Raw genomic sequence first — 17,716 nt, forward strand, 5'->3', positions numbered from 1 at the left:
ATGAGACATAGTCCGCCAAATCTGAAAAATCAAAGACATGATAATTAACTCACTTCGAAATCCCTTGCTTCCTCATGGAACGTTTGTGGCAGAGTTGCTCAGCGTGCCCACAAGACAGATGTCTCCATCCAAGCCTGTAATGTGGAATGCCATTCCTTAATGGAGGCTGATGTCTGGGGTGCCAAGCAAAGTCTCCTTGAGATTTGCCAAGTGCTTGGGATTAAATGTGCCTTCACTGAAACAAATCACTTCATTCTAAGTCACACAGCAAGTTGGAGGTCCAACCTCCATCTTCCACTATATTCACTAAAGTACAAAGTCTGTAAGCAAAACGTTTGTTAAAATTTCATTGAGGGGTTACTCCACGTAATGGAATATTGACACTTGGTGTTTTGGGGCTACAGTGATAAATATATCAGATGCAGACTCGGCCTTCAAAGGACTACCTACTCCTGAAAAGTGAGGGAGATGAGGAGGTAGGAGATGCCTGGCTAAGGGAGGAGCATGTGGAAAAGTCCAAAGGGAAAAGTTTGGGGTATAACCAGATCAGATTGGCTGGTCATGGCATAGGATACACTGAGGAATGGCAGATAATGTTGGGAGAGCCAGCTGAAGTTTTATTGTGGTGGGACTTGAGAATCTAGCTAAGGAGTGTGTGTGTGTGTGTTAGACAACCTCCAAAGGTTATGAGAATATTATCAGAACCATGCTTCTTTGCCAATTCCAATCCCTCAAGTTCAAGCTAAGGGATACAGAGTGTCTCTCAGACAGACTGTCCAGCAGGCTAGGCCGATGGCCCTAACTCACTTACATCCTCACTTCTGAGAAAGCTATGCTTAGATTTGGGTTCACATCTAGACTACAAAAGCTAAGCATAATTTGGGTTTGTCATCCAAAAAAGTGAAGAATATTATACACAAAATGCATTCTAAAGGATTAAAAAGTATAAAAATTAAACATAACAATTTGAAAATCTGAATTGACATTTATCAAATTTCTCAAAGGAAACAAACATACCAAGTTTAAAGGAAATTAAACTTAAAGAAGTCAAGGGAAAAATATTATGTTAATTTCTTCTATAGAAATGGAAAATCTATAGGTTTTAAACAAAATAACTTAAAAGGAAAACTGAGTATTAGCAACAAATTTACTAACTAAATGATTTCATAGACTGAATATACAGAATTCAGCAAGATCAATTTTTTAAAATGATCCCCCAAACATAAGTGGACAAAGAATATAAATTGACAGTTTTCAATGAGGAAAAATAAACCAAAATAAATTTTAATGTTCAATGTTATTAGTAACCTTAAGAATTGCCAATTAAAATAACACACTATTTTAACCCATCGCAGAGTAAGCACTTTCATACACTGCTTGCAGGGCTGTTCATTGATATAAATTCTCTCCCCTCCCCCATTATTATGTATTTTCCAAAATTTTACTGAAAACATCCTTTCAAGAAATCTCTATTGAACTCCTGAATCACCAAGCCAAACTTGTTATCTAGCTCCCTAGCACCCACTACTCATGCCCCCTCCCCACCCACAAACATAGATTAGCTCTGCATTCCTGCCTTGGTGTGTTGCGGGGTGAAGAAGAGTCAGGAAGCCTTACGCTGGCATAATCTGTGTCTCAGACAATATGACCACATGCCAATTTAGTGTGGAGTAGAAGAAATGGCCAGGATTTAAAGCCTGGAGACCAGAACTGGGTGGGCTTGGGAAAGTCACTTAACCTCTCTAGATCCTCAATTCTTTATTTTTTTTCAATTCAATTTAGAAATCTTTGTAATTTTCAGACATACACAAAAGAGAATAATAGCAAAATGAATCTCCAGGCACCTCACCTAGCTTCAACTGTTACCATTTTGCCAGTTTCTCCTCATCTAATCCCCTATACTTTTTTCTTTGCTAGAATGTTTTAAAGCAAACACTGGACATTATAATTGATACACATTCTTAAAAGCAATTTATAACATGTACCAAAAGCTTTTGGCTTGGAAATTCCACTGCTGGGAATCTAAGGAAATAAACAGAAATGTAGAAAATATTTTATGTGTAAGACTTTTCTAAGAGGAAAAAACTGAAAGTAACCTAAATATGCAAAAACTGGAGAAAATGCTAATAGCCTTTGGTTTTTGCCTGCTCAGTGTTCCTTCAGTTCGCATAAGCACTCTTTTCATTGCAGGAGTCCCCCTTCTACATTCTCCCAGTCTCTGTGATTCTGATGGTGCTGAGTGAACCCGCAACTCCAGGAGAAGCCACACTACTCAAGTTCGGCCAAAGAGGGCACCCCATTCCCAGACACAGTGATTATTCGGGAATGGCTAGGGCCCAGCTAGGAAGGACACATCCTCTTGGTGGTAAGATTGCTGGCTGCAATGAAAACTAACACGGCAGAAAGAGGAGCCAGGAAATGAAAGCCAAGTTCTGAATAATATAAGATCAATGAACTCTTTTTGTTTAAACAACTTTGACTTAGGTTTCTTGTCACTAGCAACAGAGTCCCAATGCAGACCATTATTTGGTGGCCTGCTTATATTGATCTGATGAAATATTCTGCAGCCATTCTCAGCCATCCTCGTGAATGGCTTCTAGGAACACGGTTGTTTATGATAAAGTGAAAGAAGCATGATACACATTCATTAAACAGCAAGATCTTGACTATGTTTAAACATCACTCCCAAGAAAACACACCCAAAATATTAGCAACCATGCTGGTTGGTGAGGTTATAAATGTCAAACTTTTTATTCTCCACATTTCCTATACAAATGTCTTACAATAAATCTTAAAGAAAAAACTGAAAAATTTACATTTTACTGATTTGTACCCCCCTTAATTCCAAAAGGAATTATAATTAAATTATAATTATCTTCTCTAATAATATTTATAGAACACTTGGTTTTGAAGTGACAGTTTGGAATTCCCCTAGGAAACACTGACCAACCAGCATTACACAAATTAGAGCATTATTTCCTCAGTACTAAAACTGAAAAACATGCTCCCTTAAAAGAAAGTAGTCTCCTTTTCAATTACTTTGTGATCTTCAGTCTAAATACTACTAAGAAGGGAACATCACACTAGCAACCTCCTCAGAATATCTGATGCATTTATTTCATTGAACTTCGTCACATTTCATAAAGATTTTTCTCCACTCCCCCACATACCTGTCAAGGACTTTGAACCTGGACTAGAACACAGAATAAACTATGATTATTGGCCATGGTTGGTAAAGACAAATGGCCTTGACCAGCTGAGTGCAGAAGGATGGTCAAGATAGCATCTGCCAAACGCAGCTGTCTGGACTCTGTAGCTTCAGGATCCTGAGCTACTCCCTCTTTCCACTTTTTTTTTTTTTTTTTTTTTTTTTTTTGAGACGGAGTCTCGCTCCATCGCCCAGGCTGGAGTGCAGTGGCGCGGTCTCAGCTCACTGCAAGCTCCGCCTCCCGGGTTCACGCCATTCTCCTGCCTCAGCCTTCCGAGTAGCTGGGACTATAGGCGCCTGCCACCACGCCCGGCTAATTTTTTGTATTTTTAGTAGAGATGGGGTTTCACCGTGTTAGCCAGGATGGTCTCGATCTCCTAATCTCGTGATCCACCTGCCTCAGCCTCCCAAGGTGCTGGGATTACAGGTGTGAGCCACCGCGCCCGGCCCCTCTTTACACTTTTATCTTTCTCTATCAGGGCCTGTCCTGCTCTCTGCACCAAGGCTGACTCCCCCTCCCCACCCCAGTCTAAGATACTCATCTCCTAGCTGTTTGAGCCCAGGGATCTGTTCTCCTTCTGCAGCAGGTGGGGTGCAAGGAGACCAGAAGCCTGATGTAGAAGCACATGGTGTGGAGGGAATGATAAACCCAGGAAAACCTAGCAGCAGCAGCAGCAGCAGCAGCAGCAGCAGCAGCAAATCAGGCCTCTGCTTCTCCTCTTGCCCCTGCTGAGCTGCATTTACTCCAGCTCCTAACCCAGAGCATTATTCCTAGGGGCTTGATTTGGCTGTGTAAGAAACCCAAACTTGCACAAAGAGTAGTCCAGTGCCCCCTAGTGGCTAACTGGAATATTAACAGTGACATATTCTGGCACATTCAATTATAAAAGAATCTGCCTGCTGTGAAACACTGGTTGACTTTACTCTGTATGATAACTAGATCTTACCTGAATGTCGATATGTATTTATGTGGTTCCAAATGCTGGAGAAAAAACTCACTAAGTGGGTAAAGGGAGAAAACCAAATAGCTGCCCTCAACCTAATTCTATCACAAGGTACACTGGCAACCAAATCCCTGAGGCAGAACCTGTGACAAAGGCTAGATCTGGCCATGCCCAGAATTTTAGGACACAATGAGCTTTTTGCCAATTAGAAAGAGTGGTATTATTCACTTCAAGTTTTGAAACAGCCAGTGACTGATTTAGGAACATGCTATTTCGACAGTAGACAATAAAACAAAGTGTAATAAATATTAATGTCTATGTTTAAGAAAACGAATCCAACACATTTCATTAAAATAATTCTTTTAATTATTGATGCTTTGAATAAGAAGTCCATTTTACTAAATTTAGTATAAATTATTTTTCTTAAACAGAACCTGTTTGCTGGATCTCAGTTAAGTTCACTTTGCAGTTTTCAGACACAATGACTCATATTCAACTTTTCTCTTTAAGGATTCAGTGGCTTGATTCCTGACATTTCCTCTTTAAGAGGAATCTTATGTCATCTTCTGAAATCATGTATATGGGTAATAATATTAGTGTCTTCTCTTCTGAAGATGTGATTCTTTTAATGCCATGTTCTCTTCCCTCTGGTGACCTGACTTAGATTGTAGCAGCACTAGAAGCTATTAAGAGATTTGGGGCAGTTGAGGAAGCCTTAGGTAATTGTTAAGAGTAGAAGTATTTTTAAAAAGCTGTGGAGAGTGGTTTGGGAGGGGATTTTGTCCCTGGCTGAAGCTGGTCCATGCCTGGGTAAACTTTACTTATAAAAGAATACCAGGAACACACAAAATATTCTTCTCCTCTTTCTTTTGCAATCCAGTTTTGGAGCCAAAAAATAATCTGTGTGCACATGTGTTTTGATAATACTGTTTCGACTTAGGTGGGGAAATTAAATTCAGGAGTTTTATGACTTTCTTTTGTTCTGAGTATCACTTTAGAGTATAAAAAGTTTTTCAAAAGTTCTTTATCAGAAATAGTTTCACCCTATGTTGAATTAACAATACCCAGGATTGTGAGACATAAATCAACGTGAGTAGGAAGCTCCATCTGAGTTTCATCATTGTTTGTCTATCTTGGCAAGATTTATTCAGAAGCACCATAATGGGGGCCAATCCTTTTGCACCAGGCTCAGGCAGCTCAGGAGGCAGCTGTGGTGAGTGATGCACTCTACCAAGCACAGTGGCTTCTAGGAATAAAGAACACATACTCAACTACCTTCAAATGCCAATGGGCAATTTAAAACTGGTACTCATTCCTCTTCAAGAGCACCACTGGAAACATCTTTGGAATTGATGGGACAAAACTTATTTGATTATAGTGAAGGATATTTCTCTACGAAAATGGCTTCAAAATAGGAAAAAAGTAGCTACCACATCTTCCAGGAAATCCAATAACAGGTCAACTCTATTGGTAAACAAGCAAGTAAACAAGCAAGCAAACAAACCAGCATGTGACAGAAAACTGGCTAATATTCTGGGACGCTTTCCAGAGAAACATTAAGCCTTTTAAGTGTGTATGAGCCACTTTAAGAAACTTCATAAGTGTTGCTAAATTCACCACAGTCTGCTTCACCTAGAAAGGGGAACAGAGAAGAATTATTTTGTTAAACTGGGTTAACAAATCTTAAAAATTAATTCATTCTAGGGAAGGACTAGATAAAATTTCTGATCTAAATTAAGATTTTCAGTTCATTTCAACCACTAGAATATACTAAATAACCACTTGGGTTTGTTAAAATGCAGACTCCTGAGTTTCGGTTTCAATAGGTTGAGGGTGGGGCCTAGGAATCCTCATTTTAGCAATAACCCTCCTCTCCAAGTATGATTCTGACACACTGATAAACGCTACTAGGATGTAGCAAGAAGCAGGCCACTGCCGTGGCTGCTGTTGTTATCTCATTTAAGAGTATCTGAAGGCTTAAAAGACAAAAATAGTTGAGAACAGAAGGGGTCCTGAACATCAGGGCAGAAGAGCAGTGATTAGCCATTGCCCAGTGATAGTGACCACAGCTGGGAGGTGAACTTTCCCCCTTTCTGCTGCCACCAACCAGGGAATCCATCTCTAGGTATCAAGACTGGGCAAGTCTGTAATCCATGACCTTTTGTTACCTGTGTGTTTGCTAGGAAATATCCGGATGTGCGCCAGAGGAGATAAAATGAGGCTTAGCACAAACATGCTGCTGCCCAGACTTAACAGTGGTCAAAAGCAATGCTTATGCTTATAAGAACTGCTTGTTGGGCGGGCGCGGTGGCTCACACCTATAATCCCAGCATTTTGGGAGGCCGAGGCGGGCAGATCACGAGGTCAGGAGATTGAGACCATCCTGGCTGACATGATGAAACCCTGCCTCTACTAAAAATACAAAAAATTAGCCAGGCGTGGTGGCAGGTGCCTGTGGTCCCAGCTGCTCAGGAGGCTGAGGCAGGAGAATGGCATGAACCCAGGAGGCAGAGCTTACAGTGAGCTGAGATCGCACCACCACACTCCAGCCTGAGCAACAGAGTGAGACTCCATCTCAAAAAAAAAAAAAAGAACTGCTTATTCCAGGGTGCCAGCAAATGCTTCGTGTAGACATTTAAGCCTTCCACTGATCATGCAAACATGCTCATGGGGGCTTCACCCAACAGTCCAATGAGGCAAACCACATTCAGTTAAGCTCCGTATCAGCTCTCACAAGTGGCAGTCTCCATCTGTGTGAAACAGATTTCAGATGCAGAGGGCTTCGTGGTATTTGGAGGAATAATACCTTCCAAAACCGATCTGGGCAAGCCAAGCAAGGTGGCTGCCAATGTGGGGAAGCTCCAGAACGCCTGTGAGGCCCCTGTGGGTGGTTCTCCAAGAAGATGGGGGCCCTGGTCCTCACAGATATCACTGTACACTCCCCGGACTATTAAACAGCTCTGGTGGCAAACCTGGCGGGTGGGATTAGTGGGGGCACTCCTAGACTCGGAGATGGACAATTCCTAGCCAGAGGCACCCGGTCAGAGCGGGCAGCTTTCAGGCCCTGCCCATCCCTCGGGTTCTGGTGCACTGCCTCAGAAGAGTCACATCTGCTCTAGCCTTTGGGCCGCCTCTCAGGACAAGGGAAAAATGTTCTATCTCTGTGCTGCAGAGAAGTGCTCCTTTGTCAGCATAATAAAGTGGGAACCTCAAAAGTATCTGTTTTACTCACTTATTCAGTGTGGAGACTTATGGGAAAACAGTTTTATTTTGTTATTAAACCAGGCACTGCCTTTGGGCATGTTATTTATATAAAGATAACTGCGCTTTAGAGATTATGTCCTGTGAAAGTAAACTTTAACTTCGAAGAGCAGGCCCTTCTTAACAGTCATCCTGATAATTTGTTGCCAGGGAATAAAGTTGTAATTGCTACCTCTATATTCCTATGAAGTCAGATGGCTTTGCCAGCCCAGAAGACGACCAGTGGCCCGTGCCTCTCCTGCATGCACAGCAGCAAAACAAGCGCCAGGACTGTGGGATTCTTTATTCCAACAGAGTGTGAGAGTGTTTGTCTCAAGTAATGAGCCAGACAATCATTCCTAAACACCTGCTCTATGACACACACTGTCCTAGGCCCTGCTTGGAATTAAAAAAAATTAGAAACAAAACAAAACTGAGATTTCCAATCATGGTAGGGAGTCAATAGTTCAACACGGAATTGTTCTACAATTGAAAAAGACAGAGATTAAATAAATGCTAAGAATTTAAGCCCTCAAATGACCTACAACCTACAAGTCTACCTTAGTTATCATCACCGTAATCTCCTGAAACAGCAGTCAATCATTACAAGCAGAAAGTGCATTATAAATTACACTGAGCTAGGAGCCTGGCCAGCTACCAGTGAGGCAGCCAGAGGAGAAGTACAGCATCATGGATAGAAGTCAGGTGATGGCTCTGGAGCAAGAATGCCTGGGTTTGAGTCCCAGCACCACCACTTCCTGGCTGCAAGAACAAACAGTTTAGGCCAGTTTGTTCTCTGTGCATCAGCTTTCCATTTCACACATGTGGAAAAACAGCACCTACCTGTTGCGGTGGAAGGTTGCGCAAGAAAGGGATGTGGTGAGAACTGAATGAGTTAATACATGAAAAGTAGCCAGTATAGCACCCAGCCAGTAATAAACAATGGACACTAGCTGTTATTGTTACTGTTCTTATCACCTCCCCAGATATGCCAGAATTCCCTGTGTCACCTGGGAGAAGCACCAGTCCCTTGTATTCCCTCATTTGAACCCTTAGCTAACTCCAAAGACTCCAGTTACACTCTTCTTTCCTTTCCCTTTCTGTCTTCAGGTCCTGGGCTTTATTTTCTCCCATGGCCTCTTTTATCTCAGCCTCCTCCCTTCCATGCACTTCTTAGTGGGATAAACCACACATCCCCATAGGCATTTGTAGTACTGGGGCTGATGGGATGGGGTTACTTGCTCAGACTCAGATGAAGGGCATTCACAGTCCAGGAGCACCTGAGTCTAAGCCTCATGAGAAAATGCCATCGTGGGTCATAACTGGGCTCTGTTCAGGGCCCAATAAGCACAGCCTTAAAATGGAGTCTCAACCTGGTGTCCAGGCCTGTAGACAGAGTTCAGGGGTCTGCGAACTTGGCTCAAAAAAATTTTTTTTTCATTTTCATTAGGCTCTAACTGAATGTATCATTTCCTTCAATAATGAATGTAGGGAATAAACCACAGGGTGACAGCCTATCTGTGACTGTCTCCAACAGAAATAGAGAAATCACAGATACGTTCATATCATGTCACAGGTGTTGCAGATGTCTTAAAATATTGTCTTCAATCCTCACTACTTTAAAAGCACAGAAAAGGCCAGGCATGGTCGCTCATGCCTGTAATCCTAGCACTTTGGGAGGCTGAGGCAGGCAGACTGCCTGAGCTCAGGAGTTCGACACCACCCTCTTTATGAAAATACAAAAAATCAGCTGGGTGTGGTGGTCTATGCCTGTATTCCCAGCTGCTTGGGAGGCTTGAGGCATAAGAATCGTTTGAACCCAGTAGGTGGAGGCTGCAATGAGCTGAGATGGTGCCACTGCACTCAGCCTGGGTGACAGAGTAAGACTCTGTCTTGAAAAAAAAAGAAAAAGTAATAGACTTATTACTAGATCTTATATTTAATATATTAATAAAACGATTATACCACACATTTACAAATATTTTCATAAATGTATTTCATTATAGTTGATTTTCTTCTTAATCCTCTGTATTTTATGTGTTTAAAACATTATTCTGAGAAGGGGTCAGCGGCTTTACCAGACTGCCCAGGGTGTCCAGGGCACATGAAACGGTTAAACCCCCCTTGCCTTAGAAGGCTGAGGATGGCTGTAAGGGCGGCAATCTTAGGTGAAAGATGTGTAAGTACTTACTGAACTGTGACATTATAATATTCTTCTGGTGTCACGATTTTTGGTCCACCAAAGTAGTCCAGGACCCAGATATTGGTTATATTCAACTTAGCAAAGAACCAATTATGGCTGGAAGGCCAGGTTTTCATCTCAGGGTGTCGAATGAATAACGAATGCTTTGCAATATCCATTTCTGTTTCATTCACCTAAAGGACATATATGAAATAAACATTCTTATGGCAGTAACACTTTATCTTCTCATTTGTTAAGAATGTGTGATTAGGCCGGGTGCAGTGGTTCACGCCTGTAATCCCAGCACTTTGGAAGGCCAAGGCGGGCGGATCACGAGGTCAGGAGACTCAGACCATCTTGGCTAACACGGTGAAACCCCATCTCTACTAAAAAAAAAAAAATTAGCCAGATGTGGTGGTGGGCACCTGTAGTCCCAGCTACTCAGGAGGCTGAGGCAGGAAAATGGCATGAACCCGGGAGGCGGAGCTTGCGGTGAGCCGAGATCGTGCCACTGCACTCCAGCCTGCATGACAGAGCAAGACTCCATCTCAAAAAAAAAAAAGAATGTGTGACTCTAGCATTCTATAAATCCTAAGAGTTTACTTACTTGTAAATCTTGATCTTAACCTTAAGGAATCAAGAGAAAATAAAGGAAATGTAAAGAATGCAGAGAATAAAGATTTCAATTGTTGGTAATAACAGATACCACGAAGTGGGAAACCACTGTAAGTATAATACCAACTTTCATTGGTAAAAAGGCATTTTGAGCTATTAGAATAACTAGCACTAAGTACTGTAACATTACTGGTGCCTAAGACATGTAATGTTTAGCATATTTATCCCATAACATGGACATGTTAAACATACAGATGAATGTACTGAAGGATAAAAATGTTTAGAAACCACATAACAGAACTCAAAAGCATGTGCTGCTCCTCCATCTTTTTCCTGCCAGTGAAGGACACTCAACTACAGAGATGCATCCACAAAGAATTTACAGACCATAAATAACACTTGTCTGAGGCATTAATGATTGACACGGTCAAAAAGCAAATCTGCTGGCTGGGTAATCAGATCAGCACTCCTGACACCATGCCCACTGCTCTTCCTGAGATTGTATTTGACCTCTTCCCTTCAGCAGGTGATCCAAACTAAATTCACTTCCAGTTTTCAGTAATGGATAGTCCTCTGGTTGGCCTACTTAATATGTTTTCTCTGCTTTAAGCCACTGTTAAAATATGGAGACAAGGAGCCCAGACATGGAAAAACATTATACCAATGTAAAATGTAATGGAGAGTAGAGGGCTTTGGTCAACCAGATGCTCTTTAGTAAGAATAACTTTATATACAGGAGCTTCATAGTTGTTACATCTGCTTGGCTTCAGAAAATCATTCATTTTTGTCATATCTTATTTAACACCTATATGAAAGCAACTTATTAAAACGTTTGGTTTTCATGGAATTACTTCACCTATTAGAATAGAACATGTTCTGACTGGGCATGGCAATCACAAATCAACTGCATTTCATTCTGAAAAGATCTATTCTGCCAGGCATAGTGGCTCACGCCTGTAATCTCAGCACTTTGGGAGGTCGAGGTGGGTGGATCACTTGAGGTCAGGAGTTCAAGACCAGCCTGGCCAACATGGTGAAACCCCATCTCTACTAAAAATACAAAAATTAGCTGGGTGTGGTGGTGCGTGCCTGTAATCCCAGCTACTAGGGAGGCTGAGGCACAAGACTCGCTTGAACCCAGGAGGCAGAGGTTGCAGTAAGCCGAGATCACACCACTGCACTCCAGCCTGGGAGACAGAGTGAGACTCTGTCTCAAAAGAAAAATGATCTATTCTTTCATTGTGAATACGATGGTGTTCTGAAACCATCTCCCTTCCTGTAGGATAACTACTTACCTTGGTCACAGTTCCTGACAGCATTATGTGAACACAAAGGGGACTTTGTGGATCAAATCCATGTTTCTTGCAGAAGTTGGTCTGTGCCAAAGTCATGGTCAGTGTAGCATATGGATTCTCCTATAGAGAGAAAATGAAGATCCTCTCATGTGAAATATGGTTTCTGGAGAGGTAATAAATTTCAAAAGTTGCATACATGATGTCCCTAGAGCTTGACTGGTCTTCCACGAAACAATGAATCATAAAACATCACCTTCCACTCAGGGGAAAATAATACTTGGAAAGTATCCTGACCACTCCCCAAAGGGGGTGCGGGGGTTCATATTTAAAATGAACTGACTTGGTAAAAATTATTTCAATATTCTTTTTCTGAAACCCTGAATTTATTCCATATTCATCAGAAGAATTATAATTATAGTGACACCCAAATTCAAGGCTGTTCTATAGGCTTCACTGAAAGATTTAAAGGGTTAAACTCTATACAAAACCATTGCTAAAAACACCACAGTTGCTCAATTGGCTAACTACGCGATTTAAGCAAGAAAGTAGCTGAATCATGCTACTTGGTTATCTTACATTAGCAGAAACTGTCATGTGATTTCAAAACTGGAGAAGTTGTTCATTCCTGCTTTAGTAACAATGAGTTTTATCCCACATTCAAAAAGTAACACAAGTAAAATTCTTAATGCTTTCTTATTCAGAAATCAACTTCATAAAAGGCACTGTTGACAGATTATAGCAAAATTCACACATCGCATTTTAGACTATTTAGCTCTTTAAGCTCTAAGTGCCTTGTGTGGAGAATTTTGCCATTTCACACTGACCCATCAAAACAAAGAGTCATAAAGAGATTTCTTTGAAATCATTTAGCCAAATAGTCACTGTCTAGAAACTATTAGGCAAGGCACCACAGGAGACCAAAGAAGGGGAGGGGGACACTCAGGTAAACTCTCTCCCTCCGTGAGTTTATAATCTGGTTGAAAAGGCAGACATAAACAAATGTGTATGTCCAGCATAGACCAGAGTGATAGAGGAACTGTAAGGAGCTTTATAATATATTCAAAACCAGGATAGAAGGTGGGAGGACATATTAAAGGGAGAGGAGACACTGACTGCAAAAAACACAGAACTGGGTGAGCCTAAGACTTGATGAACAGTACCAAGAAACCTGATTTGCTGGAAAGAAGGGCTTTCCTACGGGAGGAGCCTGGGGTTGGGAGTGGAGAGGGCTCCAACCTAAGTTAAGGAGTCTAGATTGTAATTTGTGGGCCAACCTTAGGCACTGTTTTCTAAGAACCACCTGCCTGGAGAGCTTGATAAAATGCTGATTTGGGTTAAAATGTTGAAACAGGCTTCACTCCCAACCCAAATAACTGCAATTTTTTTTTGTTTTTTTTTTTTGAGACGGAGTCTTGCTCTGTCACCCAGGCTGGAGTGCAGTGGTGCGATCTCAGCTCACTGCAACCTCCAACTCCCAAGTTCAAGCGATTCTCTTGCCTCAGCCTCCCGAGTAGCTGGGATTACTGGTGTGTGCCACCACGCCCAGCTGATTTTTGTATTTTTAGTAGAGACTGGGTTTCATCATGTTGGCCAAGCTGGTCTTGAACTCCTGACCTTGTGATCCACCCACCTCGGCCTCCCAAAGTGCTGGGATTACAGGCGTGAGACACCGCACCTGGCCTGCAATATTTTTTTTAAGACAGTGTCTCACTCTGTCACCCAGGCAGCCACCCAGTGCAGTGGCACAATCATGGCTCATTGTGGCCTCAACCTCCAGGGCTCATGTGATCCTCCCATCTCATCCTCCTGAGTAGCTGGAACTATAGATGTGCATCACCACACCCGGCTAATATTTTTTTATTTTTTGTAGACATGGAGTTTCACTGTGTTGCCCTGGCTGGTCTCAAAATCCTAGACTCAAGTGATCCTCCCACCTCGGCCTTCCAAAGTGTTGGGATTACAGGCATGAGCCACCAAGCTGTCCTCTATCTGCATTTTATTATTTAGAAACAGAATCAAGCTCTGTCACCCAGGCTGGAGTGCAATGGCGTGATCTCAGCTCACTGCAACCTCTGCCTCCCAGGCTCAACTGATGCTCTCAACTCAGCCTCCCAAATAGCTGGGACTACGGTCGTACACCACCATACCCAGTTAATTTTTGTATTTTTAGTAGAGGTGGGTTTCACCATATTGGCCAGGCTGGTCTCAAACTCCTGACCTCAGGTGATCCGCTCACCTCGACCTCCCAAAGTGCTGGGATTACAGGCTGGAGCCTCCGCACCCGCCTCTATATGCATTTTAAACAAACATCCCAGGTAGCTCTTACGCAGCTATAGGCAGCTGGGTATTGTTAAAGGTTTCTGGCCAGAGGGCAATGCTGTGACAGGTATTTTTGTTAATCTATTTGGGTAGGCAAGGTGGATGGGGCAGACAGGAAGACTATGTAAGAGCTGTTCTAGTACTTTTAGGCATGAGATGATAAGCTTAAGGATGAGGTGGCAGGAATGAAGAGGAAGGGGCAAGGACAGAGGTAAAGAAGGCAACAAAAAACTGTCAGGACTTGGGAACTGAGGGATTTGGGGAGGCAGTGAGAACCAACTGGGTTTACTGAGAAAACAATAATTCCACTAACAGAAATGCAGAAGATCAAAAGCAGCTTGTTTCAGGAGGAAGAAGGACTGGATTTAAACATGTTGAATTTGAAGTGGTGGCAAAGTAACGAAGCAAAAATGAACAGCAAGCAGAAATATAGAGAACTTTGAAGAGGTCAGAAATGGACACACATCTGGAAGTGAGTCCTAGTAAGGACTAGAAGAGAATGTATACAACGAGAGTGTATACAATCTTCTGAGGATCGCTGCAGGGAACAAAAGAGTAGGAAACTGACTTTGAGGGATACTTATTTTAGTGGGTCAGAGAAAAAAAACCAAGAGTGACCAGAACAGAAAGGGGCACATCACAAGAAAAGAATGCCAAAATGGAAGGGAGGCTAATAGTAAGAGGTCTTGGTGCAAATAATCAAACCCCAAGATTTCCCTTCAGACTCACTGGCTCTGCAGCCAAACACGGTCCCACTATAAGCTAACATCAGCAACACTGTCCTACAGACATTTACTATACAAAAATGCCACAAAGAAAGAGACATACAAAAGAAACAGCCCAGTGGTAAGTACGTTTGAAGCTCACAACATATCTCTAAGTTACAGAGGACAGGTATTTTACACATGAGAAATGGTCCCAAACCTAGGTCTTTTTGTTCCTTCTGAACGATTTCACCCCCTGTCAATGAGAAGAAATGCAGAGCACCCTGGAGGTCAGGAGGAGGAAAAGAAAAAAGCAGAAACTTTGACCTGCTAATTGATGGAATCAAGTCAGACAAATTCTAATGTGGCCACTTCTTTTCACTGCCATCATGGAAACCTAAAGCCCTGGGTAGGTTCCTTGCCACTGCCCTGTCTATTTCTAGAAACATGAAAGACCTGGGCTAATGTCCTACCTGACAGCCATTAGCTGACTGGTCACAGGGTAAGTCCCTGCACCTCTGAGTCTGTGTTTCCTCACTTCCTAAATGGGGACAATAATACCAGCAACTCCCTAGTCACCTCACAAATTTAAATATGATTATGTATTGGTCAATCTCCCTCCTCCCCCATTAGAATCATCAGGGAGTGGTTTGTGGGGAGGCGGGAAGGGGTGTTGTCTTAAAATAAAATGTGCTTTCAATAAAATACCTTGGCATCCCATTTTTAAAGCCTTCTTAGGTGACTATGATTTGCAGTCAAAGTTGAGCACCACTGATGGAGTGGAGTGAGTTTGTTTTGAGCAAACGCCTAAAGGTGTGGAATGGGCTGGGAATAAGAAAATGGTGAACTGGGGTGTATCTGCCTTAGCTAAAAGAGGGCACTGCTTCTGTTTTTGCTCAAAGAGTGCAGGCCCACAGTGTCACTGGATCTTCCCATTTTTCAAGAAAAGTTAGAGATTTACATTTTAAAGTAAAATCTAAATTTTAAAATGTTGGTAACAAATTCAAATTTATTAAAAACAAAACAGAACTTTGTGTAGGCCAAACCGGTCTGTGGGACATATTCAGCTGATGGGCCACCAGCCTGTGATAGGTGGTTTGAAGAAAGATGAACCTGAGATGAAACTAGGGGTTTGCCCGCTGGCTTTAAACAAGTTACTTAACCTAGGTAGGCCTCAAGTTCTTCATCTGCAGAATGGGGTATATAATACCTACTTCAAAGAATTAATAGAAGAGACAACGAATGGAAGGCAAATGGAAAAGTGATTAATCAAGCATCAGTTTCTTGCATCCTGTCTTTATCAACAATGTTGTACTTTCAGAGTTGAACTCAAATGTGAGAGCTTTGTCAAAAAGACCCTCCATCAAATCAGGCTCCATTCCTGGACTCTGTGTGTCTCCGGCCTCCCAAGCTGGGTGTCTGTGACCCCATCCCTGAGACAGCAGAGATCCATCAGAGTTGTAAGTGTGGCCCTGCACCAGAAGGTGGGCAAAGGGCGAGGAAGAGATACACCTTCAATCAGCTCTGCATCTTACTGAGGAGCCACTATGCCTGTGGAGGCCTAAAGACTGCAGTAATCATTGTAATCGTCCATGATATTGTACGTTAGCGTCTTGCTGCAGGAGGGAAAAGCTTAATTCAGGAAGGGTAAGAGAGTGAGAAACCCTGAAGTCACATATTAAAGTGCTTAAGTACCTAACAATCTCTATGCCCTGTAAAACCTTTAAGAATAGGAGCCCAGGCAGGGCGCGGTGGTTCACGCCTGTAATCCCAGCACTTTGGGAGGCTGAGATGGGTGGATCACGTGAGGTCAGGAGTTTGAGACCAGCCTGGCCAACATGGTGAAACCCCGCCTCTACTAAAAATACAAAAATTAGCCGGGTGTGGTGGCACGCACCTGTAATCCCAGCTACTCGGTAGGCTGAGGCACGAGAATCGCTTGAACCTGGGAGGCAGAGGTTGCAGTAAGCTGAGATAGCGCCACTGCACTCCAGCCTGGGCCACAAAGTGAGATTCTGTCTCAAAGGGAAAAAAAAAAAAAAAGAGAATAGGAGCACAGTTAATAGAGACACTGGGCCCCAAGACGACTGAGAACCACTCACGGATGAGAAGTCCTCGGGCTGCTGGCAGAGAATTTACCCCAGGTGCGTGGCCCAGTGGCGGAGGCTTGTGGGAAATTCCTGGTACCCAGCTGCCCAACATCTGGGACGCTGCAACGCCCACCTACCTGCCTGCGCGGCAGAGAAGCAACAGCCGTTCGAGCCACGCTCCACTTCCCGGGAAGAATTCTGGGGAGAGTGAAGGCTCGCTCTGTGGCCGCCCCGCCCACAGCCCGCCTGGGGAAGCCGCGGGCCCCAGCTCACCTGCAGGTTGCTCACGGAGAGCTGCAGCGGGCTCAGGTAGAAATAGGGCACGCCGCTGCCCGCGCCCGGGGGCCCGTCGCTGAGCGAGAGGACGTCGGCGAAGGGCCGGCCGCGCACCGCCTCCAGCGTGGAGATGGTGGCCAGAGCGCCCCAGTCGGAGACGTGCGTCACGAAGCGGGCCACGCGCGCCGCGTCCTCGCGGGGTGGTAGCGGCGGCAGCCGGGAGGCCTCGTCCCAGTCCCCGTGGTCCCGGCCGCCGCGACCCCGCGCGGGCGACACGAGCAGCGCCAACAGCGTCGACGCCAGCAGGGCGGCGAGCAGTGCGCGCGCGGACCCGCGGGATAGCCCGGCCATGGCGGTGTCTCCAGGAAGAGTCCCGGGCCCCAAGACCTGCAGGGACCCAGCCGGAGCTCGGCGCGCCCAGGCCCCGCCCCCTCCGCGAGGCGCCAATCAGAGCTAAGCACAATGCAGGGGGCGGGGTCCCTCTGCAGCTCCGCAACCTGCAGGAGAAGGGATTGGTTCATCTGCATTCCAATCGCTCTGCCTGCCCTCTTTAAGGATTGTGAATTTGTCCTAAACGGGATATTTGTTTTGTTTTGTTTGACAGGCGGAAAAAGAAAGGCTTGAAGAAATCAAGCAACTTGCCCAAATCGTACTGCTAGGAAAAGACCAGCCTCTTTACACAGGCACACACCCCCTCCTTTTAATACCTTTGGAGATGAATATCTGGCATCTGAGAGGAAATGCTGCATTTTCTACCCATGCGCCTCTTTTCTGTTGAATTTACCATCAGCTCCAAAGAACAGCGAGGGTCCCAGCGTTGTAGAAGCCCAGACTCAGGCTCGT

At 43.8% G+C, this 17,716-nt stretch overlaps 1 protein-coding gene across 1 annotated transcript, besides 4 other annotated features; it reads right to left on the bottom strand.

Moving 5' to 3' along the window:
- Positions 3,485-3,985: an enhancer, noted in NCBI's record as "H3K4me1 hESC enhancer chr1:167509239-167509739 (GRCh37/hg19 assembly coordinates)". NCBI's record gives its function as "activates a minimal SCP1, AML or CMV promoter by ChIP-STARR-seq in primed H9 embryonic stem cells {active_cell/tissue: H9 hESC(primed)}" and the evidence as "EXISTENCE:reporter gene assay evidence [ECO:0000049][PMID:30033119]".
- CREG1 (cellular repressor of E1A stimulated genes 1) lies at positions 4,496-17,245 on the bottom strand. The gene is made up of 4 exons (NM_003851.3): positions 16,871-17,245; positions 11,485-11,604; positions 9,584-9,768; positions 4,496-5,784 (listed from the first exon to the last, which is right to left on the bottom strand). Exons 1-4 carry the CDS (start codon positions 17,222-17,224, stop codon positions 5,781-5,783), a joined length of 663 nt encoding a protein of 220 aa, NP_003842.1. The 5' UTR covers positions 17,225-17,245; the 3' UTR covers positions 4,496-5,780.
- Positions 11,988-12,132: an enhancer, noted in NCBI's record as "145 bp enhancer 235 fragment used in the MPRA reporter construct; PK_construct_4323". NCBI's record gives its function as "activates an SV40 promoter by MPRA in K562 cells {active_cell/tissue: K562}" and the evidence as "EXISTENCE:reporter gene assay evidence [ECO:0000049][PMID:23512712]".
- Positions 12,051-12,068: a transcriptional cis regulatory region, noted in NCBI's record as "GATA motif; enhancer activity is reduced when this motif is scrambled". NCBI's record gives its function as "necessary for full MPRA enhancer 235 activity {active_cell/tissue: K562}" and the evidence as "EXISTENCE:site-directed mutagenesis evidence [ECO:0005528][PMID:23512712]".
- Positions 16,934-17,383: a silencer, noted in NCBI's record as "silent region_1530". NCBI's record gives its function as "represses an Ori minimal core promoter by ATAC-STARR-seq in GM12878 lymphoblastoid cells {active_cell/tissue: GM12878}" and the evidence as "EXISTENCE:reporter gene assay evidence [ECO:0000049][PMID:35858748]".

Source organism: Homo sapiens, chromosome 1 (genome assembly GCF_000001405.40).
Source record: "Homo sapiens chromosome 1, GRCh38.p14 Primary Assembly".
Lineage (NCBI taxonomy): Eukaryota > Metazoa > Chordata > Mammalia > Primates > Hominidae > Homo > Homo sapiens.